The sequence below is a fragment of the Homo sapiens genome, chromosome 17, assembly GCF_000001405.40.
Source record: "Homo sapiens chromosome 17, GRCh38.p14 Primary Assembly".
NCBI classification, from domain to species: Eukaryota; Metazoa; Chordata; class Mammalia; order Primates; family Hominidae; genus Homo; species Homo sapiens.
The window spans coordinates 23353090-23375637 of NC_000017.11; the positions used below are offsets into that span (position 1 = coordinate 23353090).

General features: G+C 40.8%; 1 annotated feature.

Moving 5' to 3' along the window:
* Positions 1 to 22548: part of a centromere (Linear centromere model derived predominantly from reads generated in PMID: 17803354. This region does not represent an actual centromere sequence, as long-range ordering of repeats and unmapped WGS contigs is not provided by the model. For details of model production, see http://arxiv.org/abs/1307.0035.) that runs on past both edges of the window.

Here is a 22548-nt window from a genome sequence, read left to right on the forward strand (position 1 = left end):
ACACTTTTTGTAGAATCTACAAGTGGATATTTGGACCTCTCTGAGGATTTCGTTGGAAACGGGATAACTGCACCTAACTAAACGGAAGCATTCTCAGAAACTGCTTTGTGATGATTGCATTCACCTCACAGAGTTGAACATTCCTATTGATAGAAGCAGTTTGGAAACACTCTTGTTGTGGAATGTGCAAGTGGAGATTTGGAGCGCTTTGAGGCCTATGGTAGTAAAGGGAATAGCTTCATAGAAAAACTAGATAGATGCATTCTCAGGAACTTTTTGGTGATGTTTGTATTCAACTCCCAGAGTTGAACTTTCCTTTGGAAAGAGCAGCTATGAAACACTCTTTTTCTAGAATCTGCAAGTGGACGTTTGGAGGGCTTTGTGGTTTGTGGTGGAAAAGGAAATATCTTCACCTAAATACTAGATAGAAGCATTCTCAGAAGCTTCTCTGTGATGACTGCATTCAACTCACGGAGTTGAACACTCCTTTTGAGAGCGTAGTTTTGAAACTCTCTTTCTGTGGCATCTGCAAGGGGACATGTAGACCTCTTTGAAGATTTCGTTGGAAACGGAATCATCTTCACATAAAAACTATACAGAAGCAGTCTCAGAATCTTCTTTGTGATGTTTGCATTCAAATCCCCGAGTTGAACTTTCCTTTCAAAGTTCACGTTTGAAACACTCTTTTTGCAGGATCTACAAGTGGATATTTGGACCACTCTGTGTCCTTCGTTCGAAACGGTTATATCTTCACATGACATCTAGACAGAAGCTTTCTCAGAAAATTCTTTGGGATGATTGAGTTGAACTCACAGAGCTGAGCATTCCTTGCGATGTAGCAGTTTAGAAACACACTTTCTGCAGAATCTGCAAGTGCATATTTGGACCTCTGTGAGGAATTCGTTGGAAACGGGATAATTTCAGCTGACTAAACAGAAGCATTCTCAGAACCTTCTTCGTGATGTCTGCATTCAACTCACAGTGTGGAACCTTTCTTTGATAGTTCAGGTTTGAAACACTCTTTTTGTAGAAACTGCAAGGGGATAATTGCACTCTTTGAGGAGTACCGTAGTAAAGGAAATAACTTCCTATAAAAAGAAGACAGAAGCATTCTCAGAACCCTCTTCGTGATGTTTGCATTCAACTCACAGTGCTGAACCTTTCTTTGATAGTTCAGCTTTGAAACACTCTTTTTGTAGAAACTGCAAGTGGATATTTGGTCCTCTCTGAGGATTTCGTTGGAAACGGGATAAACTGCACAGAACTAAACAGAAGCATTCTCAGAACCTTCTTCGTGATGTTTGCATTCAACTCACAGTGTTGAACCTTTCTTTGATAGTTCAGGTTTGAAACGGTCTTTCTGTAGAAACTGCAAGTAGATATTTGGACCTCTCTGAGGATTTCGTTGGAAACGGGATAACCCGCACAGAACTAAAACAGAAGCATTCACAGAAAACTCTTGGTGACGACTGAGTTTAACTCACAGAGCTGAACATTCCTTTGGATGGAGCAGTTTCGAAACACACTATTTGTAGAATGTGCAAGTGGATATTTAGGCCTCTCTGAGGATTTCGTTGGAAACGGGATAAACCGCACAGAACTAAACAGAAGCATTCTCAGAAACTACTTTGTGATGATTGCATTCAAGTCACAGAGTTGAACATTCCCTTTGACAGAGCAGTTTGGAAACTCTCTTTGTGTAGAATCTGCAAGTGGAGATATGGACCGCTTTGAGGCCTATGGTAGTAAAGGAAATAGCTTCATATAAAAGCTAGACAGTAGCATTCTCAGAAACTTCTTTGTGATGCTTGCATTCAACTCACAGAGTTGAACTTTCCTTTCGAGAGAGAAGCTTTGAAACACTCTTTTTCCAGAATCTGCAAGTGGACATTTGGAGGGCTTTGTGGCCTGTGGTGGAAAAGGAATTATCTTCCCGAAAAAGCTAGATAGAAGCATTGTCAGAAACTTCTTTGTGATGATTGCATTCAACTCACAGAGTTGAAGGTTCCCTTTCAAACAGCAGTTTCCAATCACTCTTTCTGTGGAATCTGTAAGTGGATATTTGGACCTCTTTGAAGATTTCGTTGGAAACGGGAGAATCTTCACAGAAAAGCTAAACAGAAGCATTCTCAGAAACTTCTCTGTGATGTTTGTGTTCAACTCCCAGAGTTTCACATTGCTTTTCATAGAGTAGTTCTGAAACATGCTTTTCGTAGTGTCTGCAAGTGGACATTTGGAGCGCTTTCAGGCCTGTGGTGGAAAACGAATTATGGTCACATAAAAACTGGAGAGAAGCCTTCTCAGAAACTTCTCTGTGATGATTGCATTCAACTCACAGAGTTGAACCCTCCTATGGATAGAGCAGTGTTGAAACTCTCTTTTTGTGGAATCTGCAAGTGGATATGTGGACCTCTCCGAAGATGTCTTTGGAAACGGGAATATCTTCACATAAAAACTAAACAGAAGCATTCTCAGAAACTTCTTGGTGATGTTTGCATTCAAATCCCAGAGTTGAACCTTCCTTTGATAGTTCAGGTTTGAAACACTCTTTTTGTAGGATCTGCAAGTGGATATTTGGACCACTCTGTGGCCTTCGTTCGAAACGGGTATATCTTCGCATAAAATCTAGACAGAAGCATTCTCAGAAAATACTTTGTGATGATTGAGTTTAACTCACAGAGCTGAACATTCCTTTGGATGGAGCAGGTTTGAGACACACCTTTTGTAGAATCTACAAGTGGATATTTGGACCTCTCTGAGGATTTCGTTGGAAACGGGATAACTGCACCTAACTAAACGGAAGCATTCTCAGAAACTGCTTTGTGATGATTGCATTCACCTCACAGAGTTGAACATTCCTATTGATAGAGCAGTTTGGAAACACTCTTGTTGTGGAATGTGCAAGTGGAGATTTGGAGCGCTTTGAGGCCTATGGTAGTAAAGGGAATAGCTTCATAGAAAAACTAGACAGATGCATTCTCAGGTAACTTTTTGGTGATGTTTGTATTCAACTCCCAGAGTTGAACTTTCCTTTGGAAAGAGCAGCTATGAAACACTCTTTTTCTAGAATCTGCAAGTGGACGTTTGGAGGGCTTTGTGGTTTGTGGTGGAAAAGGAAATATCTTCACCTAAATACTAGATAGAAGCATTCTCAGAAGCTTCTCTGTGATGACTGCATTCAACTCACGGAGTTGAACACTCCTTTTGAGAGCGCAGTTTTGAAACTCTCTTTCTGTGGCATCTGCAAGGGGACATGTAGACCTCTTTGAAGATTTCGTTGGAAACGGAATCATCTAACACATAAAAACTATACAGAAGCAGTCTCAGAATCTTCTTTGTGATGTTTCGCATTCAAATCCCAGAGTTGAACTTTCCTTTCCAAGTTCACGTTTGAAACACTCTTTTTGCAGGATCTACAAGTGGATATTTGGACCACTCTGTGTCCTTCGTTCGAAACGGGTATATCTTCACATGACATCTAGACAGAAGCTTTCTCAGAAAATTCTTTGGGATGATTGAGTTGAACTCACAGAGCTGAGCATTCCTTGCGATGTAGCAGTTTAGAAACACACTTTCTGCAGAATCTGCAAGTGCATATTTGGACCTCTGTGAGGAATTCGTTGGAAACGGGATAATTTCAGCTGACTAAACAGAAGCATTCTCAGAACCTTCTTCGTGATGTCTGCATTCAACTCACAGTGTGGAACCTTTCTTTGATAGTTCAGGTTTGAAACACTCTTTTTGTAGAAACTGCAAGGGGATAATTGCACTCTTTGAGGAGTACCGTAGTAAAGGAAATAACTTCCTATAAAAAGAAGACAGAAGCATTCTCAGAACCCTCTTCGTGATGTTTGCAGTCAACTCACAGTGCTGAACCTTTCTTTGATAGTTCAGCTTTGAAACACTCTTTTTGTAGAAACTGCAAATGGATATTTGGTCCTCTCTGAGGATTTCGTTGGAAAAGGGATAAAACGCACAGAACTAAACAGAAGCATTCTCAGAACCTTCTTCGTGATGTTTGCATTCAACTCACAGTGTTGAACCTTTCTTTGATAGTTCAGGTTTGAAACGGTCTTTCTGTAGAAACTGCAAGTAGATATTTGGACCTCTCTGAGGATTTCGTTGGAAACGGGATAACCCGCACAGAACTAAAACAGAAGCATTCACAGAAAACTCTTGGTGACGACTGAGTTTAACTCACAGAGCTGAACATTCCTTTGGATGGAGCAGTTTCGAAACACACTATTTGTAGAATGTGCAAGTGGATATTTAGGCCTCTCTGAGGATTTCGTTGGAAACGGGATAAACCGCACAGAACTAAACAGAAGCATTCTCAGAAACTACTTTGTGATGATTGCATTCAAGTCACAGAGTTGAACATTCCCTTTGACAGAGCAGTTTGGAAACTCTCTTTGTGTAGAATCTGCAAGTGGAGATATGGACCGCTTTGAGGCCTATGGTAGTAAAGGAAATAGCTTCATATAAAAGCTAGACAGTAGCATTCTCAGAAACTTCTTTGTGATGCTTGCATTCAACTCACAGAGTTGAACTTTCCTTTCGAGAGAGAAGCTTTGAAACACTCTTTTTCCAGAATCTGCAAGTGGACATTTGGAGGGCTTTGAGGCCTGTGGTGGAAAAGGAATTATCTTCCCGTAAAAGCTAGATAGAAGCATTGTCAGAAACTTCTTTGTGATGATTGCATTCAACTCACAGAGTTGAAGGTTCCTTTTCAAAGAGCAGTTTCCAATCACTCTTTCTGTGGAATCTGCAAGTGGATATTTGGACCTATTTTGAAGATTTCGTTGGAAACGGGAGAATCTTCACAGGAAAGCTAAACAGAAGCATTCTCAGAAACTTCTCTGTGATGTTTGTGTTCAACTCCCAGAGTTTCACATTGCTTTTCATAGAGTAGTTCTGAAACATGCTTTTCGTAGTGTCTACAAGTGGACATTTGGAGCGCTTTCAGGCCTGTGGTGGAAAACGAATTATGGTCACATAAAAACTGGAGAGAAGCCTTCTCAGAAACTTCTCTGTGATGATTGCATTCAACTCACAGAGTTGAACCCTCCTATGGATAGAGCAGTGTTGAAACTCTCTTTTTGTGGAATCTGCAAGTGGCTATGTGGACCTCTCCGAAGATGTCTTTGGAAACGGGAATATCTTCACATAAAAACTAAACAGAAGCATTCTCAGAAACTTCTTGGTGATGTTTGCATTCAAATCCCAGAGTTGAACCTTCCTTTGATAGTTCAGGTTTGAAACACTCTTTTTGTAGGATCTGCAAGTGGATATTTGGACCACTCTGTGGCCTTCGTTCGAAACGGGTATATCTTCGCATAAAATCTAGACAGAAGCATTCTCAGAAAATACTTTGTGATGATTGAGTTTAACTCACAGAGCTGAACATTCCTTTGGATGGAGCAGGTTTGAGACACACTTTTTGTAGAATCTACAAGTGGATATTTGGACCTCTCTGAGGATTTCGTTGGAAACGGGATAACTGCACCTAACTAAACGGAAGCATTCTCAGAAACTGCTTTGTGATGATTGCATTCACCTCACAGAGTTGAACATTCCTATTGATAGAGCAGTTTGGAAACACTCTTGTTGTGGAATGTGCAAGTGGAGATTTGGAGCGCTTTGAGGCCTATGGTAGTAAAGGGAATAGCTTCATAGAAAAACTAGACAGATGCATTCTCAGGAACTTTTTGGTGATGTTTGTATTCAACTCCCAGAGTTGAACTTTCCTTTGGAAAGAGCAGCTATGAAACACTGTTTTTCTAGAATCTGCAAGTGGACGTTTGGAGGGCTTTGTGGTTTGTGGTGGAAAAGGAAATATCTTCACCTAAATACTAGATAGAAGCATTCTCAGAAGCTTCTCTGTGATGACTGCATTCAACTCACGGAGTTGAACACTCCTTTTGAGAGCGCAGTTTTGAAACTCTCTTTCTGTGGCATCTGCAAGGGGACATGTAGACCTCTTTGAAGATTTCGTTGGAAACGGAATCATCTTCACATAAAAACTATACAGAAGCAGTCTCAGAATCTTCTTTGTGATGTTTGCATTCAAATCCCCGAGTTGAACTTTCCTTTCAAAGTTCACGTTTGAAACACTCTTTTTGCAGGATCTACAAGTGGATATTTGGACCACTCTGTGTCCTTCGTTCGAAACGGGTATATCTTCACATGACATCTAGACAGAAGCTTTCTCAGAAAATTCTTTGGGATGATTGAGTTGAACTCACAGAGCTGAGCATTCCTTGCGATGTAGCAGTTTAGAAACACACTTTCTGCAGAATCTGCAAGTGCATATTTGGACCTCTGTGAGGAATTCGTTGGAAACGGGATAATTTCAGCTGACTAAACAGAAGCATTCTCAGAACCTTCTTCGTGATGTCTGCATTCAACTCACAGTGTGGAACCTTTCTTTGATAGTTCAGGTTTGAAACACTCTTTTTGTAGAAACTGCAAGGGGATAATTGCACTCTTTGAGGAGTACCGTAGTAAAGGAAATAACTTCCTATAAAAAGAAGACAGAAGCATTCTCAGAACCCTCTTCGTGATGTTTGCATTCAACTCACAGTGCTGAACCTTTCTTTGATAGTTCAGCTTTGAAACACTCTTTTTGTAGAAAGTGCAAGTGGATATTTGGTCCTCTCTGAGGATTTCGTTGGAAACGGGATAAACTGCACAGAACTAAACAGAAGCATTCTCAGAACCTTCTTCGTGATGTTTGCATTCAACTCACAGTGTTGAACCTTTCTTTGATAGTTCAGGTTTGAAACGGTCTTTCTGTAGAAACTGCAAGTAGATATTTGGACCTCTCTGAGGATTTCGTTGGAAACGGGATAACCCGCACAGAACTAAAACAGAAGCATTCACAGAAAACTCTTGGTGACGAATGAGTTTAACTCACAGAGCTGAACATTCCTTTGGATGGAGCAGTTTCGAAACACACTATTTGTAGAATGTGCAAGTGGATATTTGGGCCTCTCTGAGGATTTCGTTGGAAACGGGATAAACCGCACAGAACTAAACAGAAGCATTCTCAGAAACTACTTTGTGATGATTGCACTCAAGTCACAGAGTTGAACATTCCCTTTGACAGAGCAGTTTGGAAACTCTCTTTGTGTAGAATCTGCAAGTGGAGATATGGAACGCTTTGAGGCCTATGGTAGTAAAGGAAATAGCTTCATATAAAAGCTAGACAGTAGCATTCTCAGAAACTTCTTTGTGATGCTTGCATTCAACTCACAGAGTTGAACTTTCCTTTCGAGAGAGAAGCTTTGAAACACTCTTTTTCCAGAATGTGCAAGTGGACATTTGGAGGGCTTTGAGGCCTGTGGTGGAAAAGGAATTATCTTCCCGTAAAAGCTAGATAGAAGCATTGTCAGAAACTTCTTTGTGATGATTGCATTCAACTCACAGAGTTGAAGGTTCCTTTTCAAAGAGCAGTTTCCAATCACTCTTTCTGTGGAATCTGCAAGTGGATATTTCGACCTATTTTGAAGATTTCGTTGGAAACGGGAGAATCTTCACAGAAAAGCTAAACAGAAGCATTCTCAGAAACTTCTCTGTGATGTTTGTGTTCAACTCCCAGACTTTCACATTGCTTTTCATAGAGTAGTTCTGAAACATGCTTTTCGTAGTGTCTACAAGTGGACATTTGGAGCGCTTCCAGTCCTGTGGTGGAAAACGAATTATGGTCACATAAAAACTGGAGAGAAGCTTTCTCAGAAACTTCTCTGTGATGATTGCATTCAACTCACAGAGTTGAACCCTCCTATGGATAGAGCAGTGTTGAAACTCTCTTTTTGTGGAATCTGCAAGTGGATATGTGGACCTCTCCGAAGATGTCTTTGGAAACGGGAATATCTTCACATAATAACTAAACAGAAGCATTCTCAGAAACTTCTTGGTGATGTTTGCATTCAAATCCCAGAGTTGAACCTTCCTTTGACAGTTCAGGTTTGAAACACTCTTTTTGTAGGATCTGCAAGTGGATATTTGGACCACTCTGTGGCCTTCGTTCGAAACGGGTACATCTTCGCATAAAATCTAGACAGAAGCATTCTCAGAAAATACTTTGTGATGATTGAGTTGAACTCACAGAGCTGAACATTCCTTTGGATGGAGCAGGTTTGAGACACACTTTTTGTAGAATCTACAAGTGGATATTTGGACCTCTCTGAGGATTTCGTTGGAAACGGGATAACTGCACCTAACTAAACGGAAGCATTCTCAGAAACTGCTTTGTGATGATTGCATTCACCTCACAGAGTTGAACATTCCTATTGATAGAGCAGTTTGGAAACACTCTTGTTGTGGAATGTGCAAGTGGAGATTTGGAGCGCTTTGAGGCCTATGGTAGTAAAGGGAATAGCTTCATAGAAAAACTAGACAGAATGCATTCTCAGGGAACTTTTTGGTGATGTTTGTATTCAACTCCCAGAGTTGAACTTTCCTTTGGAAAGAGCAGCTATGAAACACTCTTTTTCTAGAATCTGCAAGTGGACGTTTGGAGGGCTTTGTGGTTTGTGGTGGAAAAGGAAATATCTTCACCTAAATACTAGATAGAAGCATTCTCAGAAGCTTCTCTGTGATGACTGCATTCAACTCACGGAGTTGAACACTCCTTTTGAGAGCGCAGTTTTGAAACTCTCTTTCTGTGGCATCCGCAAGGGGACATGTGGACCTCTTTGAAGATTTCGTTGGAAATGGAATCATCTTCACATAAAAACTATACAGAAGCAGTCTCAGAATCTTCTTTGTGATGTTTGCATTCAAATCCCAGAGTTGAACTTTCCTTTCAAAGTTCACGTTTGAAACACTCTTTTTGCAGGATCTACAAGTGGATATTTGGACCACTCTGTGTCCTTCGTTCGAAACGGGTATATCTTCACATGACATCTAGACAGAAGCTTTCTCAGAAAATTCTTTGGGATGATTGAGTGGAACTCACAGAGCTGAACATTCCTTGCGATGTAGCAGTTTAGAAACACACTTTCTGCAGAATCTGCAAGTGCATATTTGGACCTCTCCGAGGAATTCGTTGGAAACGGGATAATTTCAGCTGACTAAACAGAAGCATTCTCAGAACCTTCTTCGTGATGTCTGCATTCAACTCACAGTGTGGAACCTTTCTTTGATAGTTCAGGTTTGAAACACTCTTTTTGTAGAAACTGCAAGGGGATAATTGCACTTCTTTGAGGCCTACCGTAGTAAAGGAAATAACTTCCTATAGAGAGAAGACAGAAGCATTCTCAGAACCCTCTTCGTGATGTTTGCATTCAACACACAGTGCTGAACCTTTCTTTGATAGTTCAGCTTTGAAACACTCTTCTTGTAGAAACTGCAAGTGGATATTTGGTCCTCTCTGAGGATTTCGTTGGAAACGGGATAAACCGCACAGAACTAAACAGAAGCATTCTCAGAACCTTCTTCGTGATGTTTGCATTCAACTCACAGTGTTGAACCTTTCTTTGATAGTTCAGGTTTGAAACGGTCTTTCTGTAGAAACTGCAAGTAGATATTTGGACCTCTCTGAGGATTTCGTTGGAAACGGGATAACCCGCACAGAACTAAAACAGAAGCATTCACAGAAAACTCTTGGTGACGACTGAGTTTAACTCACAGAGCTGAACATTCCTTTGGATGGAGCAGTTTCGAAACACACTATTTGTAGAATGTGCAAGTGGATATTTGGGCCTCTCTGAGGATTTCGATGGAAACGGGATAAACCGCACAGAACTAAACAGAAGCATTCTCAGAAACTACTTTGTGATGATTGCATTCAAGTCACAGAGTTGAACATTCCCTTTGACAGAGCAGTTTGGAAACTCTCTTTGTGTAGAATCTGCAAGTGGAGATATGGACCGCTTTGAGGCCTATGGTAGTAAAGGAAATAGCTTCATATAAAAGCTAGACAGTAGCATTCTCAGAAACTTCTTTGTGATGCTTGCATTCAACTCACAGAGTTGAACTTTCCTTTCGAGAGAGAAGCTTTGAAACACTCTTTTTCCAGAATCTGCAAGTGGACATTTGGAGGGCTTTGAGGCCTGTGGTGGAAAAGGAATTATCTTCCCGTAAAAGCTAGATAGAAGCATTGTCAGAAACTTCTTTGTGATGATTGCATTCAACTCACAGAGTTGAAGGTTCCTTTTCAAAGAGCAGTTTCCAATCACTCTTTCTGTGGAATCTGCAAGTGGATATTTGGACCTATTTTGAAGATTTCGTTGGAAACGGGAGAATCTTCACAGGAAAGCTAAACAGAAGCATTCTCAGAAACTTCTCTGTGATGTTTGTGTTCAACTCCCAGAGTTTCACATTGCTTTTCATAGAGTAGTTCTGAAACATGCTTTTCGTAGTGTCTACAAGTGGACATTTGGAGCGCTTTCAGGCCTGTGGTGGAAAACGAATTATGGTCACATAAAAACTGGAGAGAAGCCTTCTCAGAAACTTCTCTGTGATGATTGCATTCAACTCACAGAGTTGAACCCTCCTATGGATAGAGCAGTGTTGAAACTCTCTTTTTGTGGAATCTGCAAGTGGATACGTGGACCTCTCCGAAGATGTCTTTGGAAACGGGAATATCTTCACATAAAAACTAAACAGAAGCATTCTCAGAAACTTCTTGGTGATGTTTGCATTCAAATCCCAGAGTTGAACCTTCCTTTGATAGTTCAGGTTTGAAACACTCTTTTTGTAGGATCTGCAAGTGGATATTTGGACCACTCTGTGGCCTTCGTTCGAAACGGGTATATCTTCGCATAAAATCTAGACAGAAGCATTCTCAGAAAATACTTTGTGATGATTGAGTTTAACTCACAGAGCTGAATATTCCTTTGGATGGAGCAGGCTTGAGACACACTTTTTGTAGAATCTACAAGTGGATATTTGGACCTCTCTGAGGATTTCGTTGGAAACGGGATAACTGCACCGAACTAAACGGAAGCATTCTCAGAAACTGCTTTGTGATGATTGCATTCACCTCACAGAGTTGAACATTCCTATTGATAGAGCAGTTTGGAAACACTCTTGTTGTGGAATGTGCAAGTGGAGATTTGGAGCGCTTTGAGGCCTATGGTAGTAAAGGGAATAGCTTCATAGAAAAACTAGACAGATGCATTCTCAGGAACTTTTTGGTGATGTTTGTATTCAACTCCCAGAGTTGAACTTTCCTTTGGAAAGAGCAGCTATGAAACACTGTTTTTCTAGAATCTGCAAGTGGACGTTTGGAGGGCTTTGTGGTTTGTGGTGGAAAAGGAAATATCTTCACCTAAATACTAGATAGAAGCATCCTCAGAAGCTTCTCTGTGATGACTGCATTCAACTCACGGAGTTGAACACTCCTTTTGAGAGCGCAGTTTTGAAACTCTCTTTCTGTGGCATCTGCAAGGGGACATGTAGACCTCTTTGAAGATTTCGTTGGAAACGGAATCATCTTCACATAAAAACTATACAGAAGCAGTCTCAGAATCTTCTTTGTGATGTTTGCATTCAAATCCCCGAGTTGAACTTTCCTTTCAAAGTTCACGTTTGAAACACTCTTTTTGCAGGATCTACAAGTGGATATTTGGACCACTCTGTGTCCTTCGTTCGAAACGGGTATATCTTCACATGACATCTAGACAGAAGCTTTCTCAGAAAATTCTTTGGGATGATTGAGTTGAACTCACAGAGCTGAGCATTCCTTGCAATGTAGCAGTTTAGAAACACACTTTCTGCAGAATCTGCAAGTGCATATTTGGACCTCTGTGAGGAATTCGTTGGAAACGGGATAATTTCAGCTGACTAAACAGAAGCATTCTCAGAACCTTCTTCGTGATGTCTGCATTCAACTCACAGTGTGGAACCTTTCTTTGATAGTTCAGGTTTGAAACACTCTTTCTGTAGAAACTGCAAGGGGATAATTGCACTCTTTGAGGAGTACCGTAGTAAAGGAAATAACTTCCTATAAAAAGAAGACAGAAGCATTCTCAGAACCCTCTTCGTGATGTTTGCATTCAACTCACAGTGCTGAACCTTTCTTTGATAGTTCAGCTTTGAAACACTCTTTTTGTAGAAACTGCAAGTGGATATTTGGTCCTCTCTGAGGATTTCGTTGGAAACGGGATAAACTGCACAGAACTAAACAGAAGCATTCTCAGAACCTTCTTCGTGATGTTTGCATTCAACTCACAGTGTTGAACCTTTCTTTGATAGTTCAGGTTTGAAACGGTCTTTCTGTAGAAACTGCAAGTAGATATTTGGACCTCTCTGAGGATTTCGTTGGAAACGGGATAACCCGCACAGAACTAAAACAGAAGCATTCACAGAAAACTCTTGGTGACGACTGAGTTTAACTCACAGAGCTGAACATTCCTTTGGATGGAGCAGTTTCGAAACACACTATTTGTAGAATGTGCAAGTGGATATTTGGGCCTCTCTGAGGATTTCGTTGGAAACGGGATAAACCGCACAGAACTAAACAGAAGCATTCTCAGAAACTACTTTGTGATGATTGCATTCAAGTCACAGAGTTGAACATTCCCTTTGACAGAGCAGTTTGGAAACTCTCTTTGTGTAGAATCTGCAAGTGGAGATATGAACCGCTTTGAGGCCTATGGTAGTAAAGGAAATAGCTTCATATAAAAGCTAGACAGTAGCATTCTCAGAAACTTCTTTGTGATGCTTGCATTCAACTCACAGAGTTGAACTTTCCTCTCGAGAGAGAAGCTTTGAAACACTCTTTTTACAGAATTTGCAAGTGGACATTTGGAGGGCTTTGAGGCCTGTGGTGGAAAAGGAATTATCTTCCCGTAAAAGCTAGATAGAAGCATTGTCAGAAACTTCTTTGTGATGATTGCATTCAACTCACAGAGTTGAAGGTTGCTTTTCAAACAGCAGTTTCCAAACACTCTTTCTGTGGAATCTGCAAGTGGATATTTGGACCTCTTTGAAGATTTCGTTGGAAAAGGGATAAACCTCACAGAAAAGCTAAACAAAAGCATTCTCAGAAACTTCTCTGTGATGTTTGTGTTCAACTCCCAGAGTGTCACATTGCTTCTCATAGAGTAGTTCTGAAACATGCTTTTCGTAGTGTCTGCAAGAGGACATTTGGAGCGCTTTCAGGCCTGTGGTGGAAAACGAATTATGGTCACATATAAACTGGAGAGAAGCCTTCTCAGAAACTTCTCTGTGATGATTGCATTCAACTCACAGAGTTGAACCCTCCTATGGATAGAGCAGTGTTGAAACTCTCTTTTTGTGGAACCTGCAAGTGGATATGTGGACCTCTCCGAAGATGTCTTTGGAAACGGGAATATCTTCACATAAAAACTAAACAGAAGCATTCTCAGAAACTTCTTGGTGATGTTTGCATTCAAATCCCAGAGTTGAACCTTCCTTTGATAGTTCAGGTTTGAAACACTCTTTCTGTAGGATCTGCAAGTGGCTATTTGGACCACTCTGTGGCCTTCGTTCGAAACGGGTATATCTTCGCATAAAATCTAGACAGAAGCATTCTCAGAAAATACTTTGTGATGATTGAGTTTAAATCACAGAGCTGACCATTCCTTTGGATGGAGCAGGTTTGAGACACACTTTTTGTAGAATCTACAAGTGGATATTTGGACCTCTCTGAGGATTTCGTTGGAAACGGGATAACTGCACCTAACTAAACGGAAGCATTCTCAGAAACTGCTTTGTGATGATTGCATTCACCTCACAGAGTTGAACATTCCTATTGATAGAGCAGTTTGGAAACACTCTTGTTGTGGAATGTGCAAGTGGAGATTTGGAGCGCTTTGAGGCCTATGGTAGTAAAGGGAATAGCTTCATAGAAAAACTAGACAGATGCATTCTCAGGAACTTTTTGGTGATGTTTGTATTCAACTCCCAGAGTTGAACTTTCCTTTGGAAAGAGCAGCTATGAAACACTCTTTTTCTAGAATCTGCAAGTGGACGTTTGGAGGGCTTTGTGGTTTGTGGTGGAAAAGGAAATATCTTCACCTAAATACTAGATAGAAGCATTCTCAGAAGCTTCTCTGTGATGACTGCATTCAACTCACGGAGTTGAACACTCCTTTTGAGAGCGCAGTTTTGAAACTCTCTTTCTGTGGCATCTGCAAGGGGACATGTAGACCTCTTTGAAGATTTCGTTGGAAACGGAATCATCTTCACATAAAAACTATACAGAAGCAGTCTCAGAATCTTCTTTGTGATGTTTGCATTCAAATCCCAGAGTTGAACTTTCCTTTCAAAGTTCACGTTTGAAACACTCTTTTTGCAGGATCTACAAGTGGATATTTGGAGCACTCTGTGTCCTTCGTTCGAAACGGGTATATCTTCACATGACATCTAGACAGAAGCTTTCTCAGAAAATTCTTTGGGATGATTGAGTGGAACTCACAGAGCTGAACATTCCTTGCGATGTAGCAGTTTAGAAACACACTTTCTGCAGAATCTGCAAGTGCATATTTGGACCTCTCTGAGGAATTCGTTGGAAACGGGATAATTTCAGCTGACTAAACAGAAGCATTCTCAGAACCTTCTTCGTGATGTCTGCATTCAACTCACAGTGTGGAACCTTTCTTTGATAGTTCAGGTTTGAAACACTCTTTTTGTAGAAACTGCAAGGGGATAATTGCACTTCTTTGAGGCCTACCGTAGTAAAGGAAATAACTTCCTATAGAAAGAAGACAGAAGCATTCTCAGAACCCTCTTCGTGATGTTTGCATTCAACTCACAGTGCTGAACCTTTCTTTGATAGTTCAGCTTTGAAACACTCTTCTTGTAGAAACTGCAAGTGGATATTTGGTCCTCTCTGAGGATTTCGTTGGAAACGGGATAAACCGCACAGAACTAAACAGAAGAATTCTCAGAGCCCTCTTCGTGATGTTTGCATTCAACTCACAGTGCTGAACCTTTCTTTGATAGTGCAGCTTTGAAACACTCTTTTTGTAGAAACTGCAAGTGGATGTTTGGTCCTCTCTGAGGATTTCGTTGGAAACGGGATAAACCGCACAGAACTAAAACAGAAGCATTGTCAGAAACTTCTTTGTGATGATTGCATTCAACTCACAGAGTTGAAGGTTCCTTTTCAAACAGCAGTTTCCAATCACTCTTTCTGTGGAATCTGCAAGTGGATATTTGGGCCTCTCTGAGGATTTCGTTGGAAACGGGATAAAACGCACAGAACTAAAACAGAAGCATTCTCAGAAACTTCTCTGTGATGTTTGTGTTCAACTCCCAGAGTTTCACGTTGCTTTTCATAGAGTAGTTCTGAAACATGCTTTTCGTAGTGTCTGCAAGTGGACATTTGGAGCGCTTTCAGGCCTGTGGTGGAAAACGAATTATGGTCACATAAAAACTGGAGAGAAGCCTTCTCAGAAACTTCTCTGTGATGATTGCATTCAACTCACAGAGTTGAACCCTCCTATGGATAGAGCAGTGTTGAAACTCTCTTTTTGTGGAATCTGCAAGTGGATATGTGGACCTCTCCGAAGATGTCTTTGGAAACGGGAATATCTTCACATAAAAACTAAACAGAAGCATTCTCAGAAACTTCTTGGTGATGTTTGCATTCAAATCCCAGAGTTGAACCTTCCTTTGATAGTTCAGGTTTGAAACACTCTTTCTGTAGGATCTGCAAGTGGCTATTTGGACCACTCTGTGGCCTTCGTTCGAAACGGGTATATCTTCGCATAAAATCTAGACAGAAGCATTCTCAGAAAATACTTTGTGATGATTGAGTTTAAATCACAGAGCTGACCATTCCTTTGGATGGAGCAGGTTTGAGACACACTTTTTGTAGAATCTACAAGTGGATATTTGGACCTCTCTGAGGATTTCGTTGGAAACGGGATAACTGCACCTAACTAAACGGAAGCATTCTCAGAAACTGCTTTGTGATGATTGCATTCACCTCACAGAGTTGAACATTCCTATTGATAGAGCAGTTTGGAAACACTCTTGTTGTGGAATGTGCAAGTGGAGATTTGGAGCGCTTTGAGGCCTATGGTAGTAAAGGGAATAGCTTCATAGAAAAACTAGACAGATGCATTCTCAGGAACTTTTTGGTGATGTTTGTATTCAACTCCCAGAGTTGAACTTTCCTTTGGAAAGAGCAGCTATGAAACACTCTTTTTCTAGAATCTGCAAGTGGACGTTTGGAGGGCTTTGTGGTTTGTGGTGGAAAAGGAAATATCTTCACCTAAATACTAGATAGAAGCATTCTCAGAAGCTTCTCTGTGTTGACTGCATTCAACTCACGGAGTTGAACACTCCTTTTGAGAGCGCAGTTTTGAAACTCCCTTTCTGTGTCATCTGCAAGGGGACATGTAGACCTCTTTGAAGATTTCATTGGAAACAGAATCATCTTCACATAAAAACTATACAGAAGCAGTCTCAGAATCTTCTTTGTGATGTTTGCATTCAAATCCCAGAGTTGAATTTCCTTTCAAAGTTCACGTTTGAAACACTCTTTTTGCAGGATCTACAAGTGAATATTTGGACCACTCTGTGTCCTTCGTTCGAAACGGGTATATCTTTACATGACATCTAGACAGAAGCTTTCTCAGAAAATTCTTTGGGATGATTGAGTGGAACTCACAGAGCTGAACATTCCTTGCGATGTAGCAGTTTAGAAACACACTTTCTGCAGAATCTGCAAGTGCATATTTGGACCTCTCTGAGGAATTCGTTGGAAACGGGATAATTTCAGCTGACTAAACAGAAGCATTCTCAGAACCTTCTTCGTGATGTCTGCATTCAACTCACAGTGTGGAACCTTTCTTTGATAGTTCAGGTTTGAAACACTCTTTTTGTAGAAACTGCAAGGGGATAATTGCACTTCTTTGAGGCCTACCGTAGTAAAGGAAATAACTTCCTATAAAAAGAAGACAGAAGCATTCTCAGAACCCTCTTCGTGATGTTTGCATTCAACTCACAGTGCTGAACCTTTCTTTGATAGTTCAGCTTTGAAACACTCTTCTTGTAGAAACTGCAAGTGGATATTTGGTCCTCTCTGAGGATTTCGTTGGAAACGGGATAAACCGCACAGAACTAAACAGAAGAATTCTCAGAGCCCTCTTCGTGATGTTTGCATTCAACTCACAGTGCTGAACCTTTCTTTGATAGTGCAGCTTTGAAACACTCTTTTTGTAGAAACTGCAAGTGGATATTTGGTCCTCTCTGAGGATTTCGTTGGAAACGGGATAAACCGCACAGAACTAAAACAGAAGCGTTGTCAGAAACTTCTTTGTGATGATTGCATTCAACTCACAGAGTTGAAGGTTCCTTTTCAAACAGCAGTTTCCAATCACTCTTTCTGTGGAATCTGCAAGTGGATATTTGGGCCTCTCTGAGGATTTCGTTGGAAACGGGATAAAACGCACAGAACTAAAACAGAAGCATTCTCAGAAACTTCTCTGTGATGTTTGTGTTCAACTCCCAGAGTTTCACGTTGCTTTTCATAGAGTAGTTCTGAAACATGCTTTTCGTAGTGTCTGCAAGTGGACATTTGGAGCGCTTTCAGGCCTGTGGTGGAAAACGAATTATGGTCACATAAAAACTGGAGAGAAGCCTTCTCAGAAACTTCTCTGTGATGATTGCATTCAACTCACAGAGTTGAACCCTCCTATGGATAGAGCAGTGTTGAAACTCTCTTTTTGTGGAATCTGCAAGTGGATATGTGGACCTCTCCGAAGATGTCTTTGGAAACGGGAATATCTTCACATAAAAACTAAACAGAAGCATTCTCAGAAACTTCTTGGTGATGTTTGCATTCAAATCCCAGAGTTGAACCTTCCTTTGATAGTTCAGGTTTGAAACACTCTTTCTGTAGGATCTGCAAGTGGCTATTTGGACCACTCTGTGGCCTTCGTTCGAAACGGGTATATCTTCGCATAAAATCTAGACAGAAGCATTCTCAGAAAATACTTTGTGATGATTGAGTTTAAATCACAGAGCTGACCATTCCTTTGGATGGAGCAGGTTTGAGACACACTTTTTGTAGAATCTACAAGTGGATATTTGGACCTCTCTGAGGATTTCGTTGGAAACGGGATAACTGCACCTAACTAAACGGAAGCATTCTCAGAAACTGCTTTGTGATGATTGCATTCACCTCACAGAGTTGAACATTCCTATTGATAGAGCAGTTTGGAAACACTCTTGTTGTGGAATGTGCAAGTGGAGATTTGGAGCGCTTTGAGGCCTATGGTAGTAAAGGGAATAGCTTCATAGAAAAACTAGACAGATGCATTCTCAGGAACTTTTTGGTGATGTTTGTATTCAACTCCCAGAGTTGAACTTTCCTTTGGAAAGAGCAGCTATGAAACACTCTTTTTCTAGAATCTGCAAGTGGACGTTTGGAGGGCTTTGTGGTTTGTGGTGGAAAAGGAAATATCTTCACCTAAATACTAGATAGAAGCATTCTCAGAAGCTTCTCTGTGATGACTGCATTCAACTCACGGAGTTGAACACTCCTTTTGAGAGCGCAGTTTTGAAACTCTCTTTCTGTGGCATCTGCAAGGGGACATGTAGACCTCTTTGAAGATTTCGTTGGAAACGGAATCATCTTCACATAAAAACTATACAGAAGCAGTCTCAGAATCTTCTTTGTGATGTTTGCATTCAAATCCCAGAGTTGAACTTTCCTTTCAAAGTTCACGTTTGAAACACTCTTTTTGCAGGATCTACAAGTGGATATTTGGACCACTCTGTGTCCTTCGTTCGAAACGGTTATATCTTCACATGACATCTAGACAGAAGCTTTCTCAGAAAATTCTTTGGGATGATTGAGTTGAACTCACAGAGCTGAGCATTCCTTGCGATGTAGCAGTTTAGAAACACACTTTCTGCAGAATCTGCAAGTGCATATTTGGACCTCTCTGAGGAATTCGTTGGAAACGGGATAATTTCAGCTGACTAAACAGAAGCATTCTCAGAACCTTCTTCGTGATGTCTGCATTCAACTCACAGTGTGGAACCTTTCTTTAATAGTTCAGGTTTGAAACACTCTTTTTGTAGAAACTGCAAGGGGATAATTGCACTCTTTGAAGAGTACCGTAGTAAAGGAAATAACTTCCTATAAAAAGAAGACAGAAGCATTCTCAGAACCCTCTTCGTGATGTTTGCATTCAACTCACAGTGCTGAACCTTTCTTTGATAGTTCAGCTTTGAAACACTCTTTTTGTAGAAACTGCAAGTGGATATTTGGTCCTCTCTGAGGATTTCGTTGGAAACGGGATAAACTGCACAGAACTAAACAGAAGCATTCTCAGAACCTTCTTCGTGATGTTTGCATTCAACTCACAGTGTTGAACCTTTCTTTGATAGTTCAGGTTTGAAACGGTCTTTCTGTAGAAACTGCAAGTAGATATTTGGACCTCTCTGAGGATTTCGTTGGAAACGGGATAACCCGCACAGAACTAAAACAGAAGCATTCACAGAAAACTCTTGGTGACGACTGAGTTTAACTCACAGAGCTGAACATTCCTTTGGATGGAGCAGTTTCGAAACACACTATTTGTAGAATGTGCAAGTGGATATTTGGGCCTCTCTGAGGATTTCGTTGGAAACGGGATAAACCGCACAGAACTAAACAGAAGCATTCTCAGAAACTACTTTGTGATGATTGCATTCAAGTCACAGAGTTGAACATTCCCTTTGACAGAGCAGTTTGGAAACTCTCTTTGTGTAGAATCTGCAAGTGGAGATATGGACCGCTTTGAGGCCTATGGTAGTAAAGGAAATAGCTTCATATAAAAGCTAGACAGTAGCATTCTCAGAAACTTCTTTGTGATGCTTGCATTCAACTCACAGAGTTGAACTTTCCTTTCGAGAGAGAAGCTTTGAAACACTGTTTTTCCAGAATCTGCAAGTGGACATTTGGAGGGCTTTGAGGCCTGTGGTGGAAAAGGAATTAACTTCCCATAAAAGCTAGATAGAAGCATTGTCAGAAACTTCTTTGTGATGATTGCATTTAACTCACAGAGTTGAAGGTTCCTTTTCAAACAGCAGTTTCCAATCACTCTTTCTGTGGAATCTGCAAGTGGATATTTGGACCGCTTTGAAGATTTCGTTGGAAACGGGAGAATCTTCACAGAAAAGCTAAACAGAAGCATTCTCAGAAACTTCTCTGTGATGTTTGTGTTCAACTCCCAGAGTTTCACGTTGCTTTTCATAGAGTAGTTCTGAAACATGCTTTTCGTAGTGTCTGCAAGTGGACATTTGGAGCGCTTTCAGGCCTGTGGTGGAAAACGAATTATGGTCACATAAAAACTGGAGAGAAGCCTTCTCAGAAACTTCTCTGTGATGATTGCATTCAACTCACAGAGTTGAACCCTCCTATGGATAGAGCAGTGTTGAAACTCTCTTTTTGTGGAATCTGCAAGTGGATATGTGGACCTCTCCGAAGATGTCTTTGGAAACGGGAATATCTTCACATAAAAACTAAACAGAAGCATTCTCAGAAACTTCTTGGTGATGTTTGCATTCAAATCCCAGAGTTGAACCTTCCTTTGATAGTTCAGGTTTGAAACACTCTTTCTGTAGGATCTGCAAGTGGCTATTTGGACCACTCTGTGGCCTTCGTTCGAAACGGGTATATCTTCGCATAAAATCTAGACAGAAGCATTCTCAGAAAATACTTTGTGATGATTGAGTTTAAATCACAGAGCTGACCATTCCTTTGGATGGAGCAGGTTTGAGACACACTTTTTGTAGAATCTACAAGTGGATATTTGGACCTCTCTGAGGATTTCGTTGGAAACGGGATAACTGCACCTAACTAAACGGAAGCATTCTCAGAAACTGCTTTGTGATGATTGCATTCACCTCACAGAGTTGAACATTCCTATTGATAGAGCAGTTTGGAAACACTCTTGTTGTGGAATGTGCAAGTGGAGATTTGGAGCGCTTTGAGGCCTATGGTAGTAAAGGGAATAGCTTCATAGAAAAACTAGACAGATGCATTCTCAGGAACCTTTTGGTGATGTTTGTATTCAACTCCCAGAGTTGAACTTTCCTTTGGAAAGAGCAGCTATGAAACACTCTTTTTCTAGAATCTGCAAGTGGACGTTTGGAGGGCTTTGTGGTTTGTGGTGGAAAAGGAAATATCTTCACCTAAATACTAGATAGAAGCATTCTCAGAAGCTTCTCTGTGATGACTGCATTCAACTCACGGAGTTGAACACTCCTTTTGAGAGCGCAGTTTTGAAACTCTCTTTCTGTGGCATCTGCAAGGGGACATGTAGACCTCTTTGAAGATTTCGTTGGAAACGGAATCATCTTCACATAAAAACTATACAGAAGCAGTCTCAGAATCTTCTTTGTGATGTTTGCATTCAAATCCCAGAGTTGAACTTTCCTTTCAAAGTTCACGTTTGAAACACTCTTTTTGCAGGATCTACAAGTGGATATTTGGACCACTCTGTGTCCTTCGTTCGAAACGGGTATATCTTCACACGACATCTAGACAGAAGCTTTCTCAGAAAATTCTTTGGGATGATTGAGTGGAACTCACAGAGCTGAACATTCCTTGCGATGGAGCAGTTTAGAAACACACTTTCTGCAGAATCTGCAAGTGCATATTTGGACCTCTCTGAGGAATTCGTTGGAAACGGGATAATTTCAGCTGACTAAACAGAAGCATTCTCAGAACCTTCTTCGTGATGTCTGCATTCAACTCACAGTGTGGAACCTTTCTTTGATAGTTCAGGTTTGAAACACTCTTTTTGTAGAAACTGCAAGGGGATAATTGCACTTCTTTGAGGCCTACCGTAGTAAAGGAAATAACTTCCTATAGAAAGAAGACAGAAGCATTCTCAGAACCCTCTTCGTGATGTTTGCATTCAACTCACAGTGCTGAACCTTTCTTTGATAGTTCAGCTTTGAAACACTCTTCTTGTAGAAACTGCAAGTGGATATTTGGTCCTCTCTGAGGATTTCGTTGGAAACGGGATAAACCGCACAGAACTAAACAGAAGAATTCTCAGAGCCCTCTTCGTGATGTTTGCATTCAACTCACAGTGCTGAACCTTTCTTTGATAGTGCAGCTTTGAAACACTCTTTTTGTAGAAACTGCAAGTGGATGTTTGGTCCTCTCTGAGGATTTCGTTGGAAACGGGATAAACCGCACAGAACTAAAACAGAAGCATTGTCAGAAACTTCTTTGTGATGATTGCATTCAACTCACAGAGTTGAAGGTTCCTTTTCAAACAGCAGTTTCCAATCACTCTTTCTGTGGAATCTGCAAGTGGATATTTGGGCCTCTCTGAGGATTTCGTTGGAAACGGGATAAAACGCACAGAACTAAAACAGAAGCATTCTCAGAAACTTCTCTGTGATGTTTGTGTTCAACTCCCAGAGTTTCACGTTGCTTTTCATAGAGTAGTTCTGAAACATGCTTTTCGTAGTGTCTGCAAGTGGACATTTGGAGCGCTTTCAGGCCTGTGGTGGAAAACGAATTATGGTCACATAAAAACTGGAGAGAAGCCTTCTCAGAAACTTCTCTGTGATGATTGCATTCAACTCACAGAGTTGAACCCTCCTATGGATAGA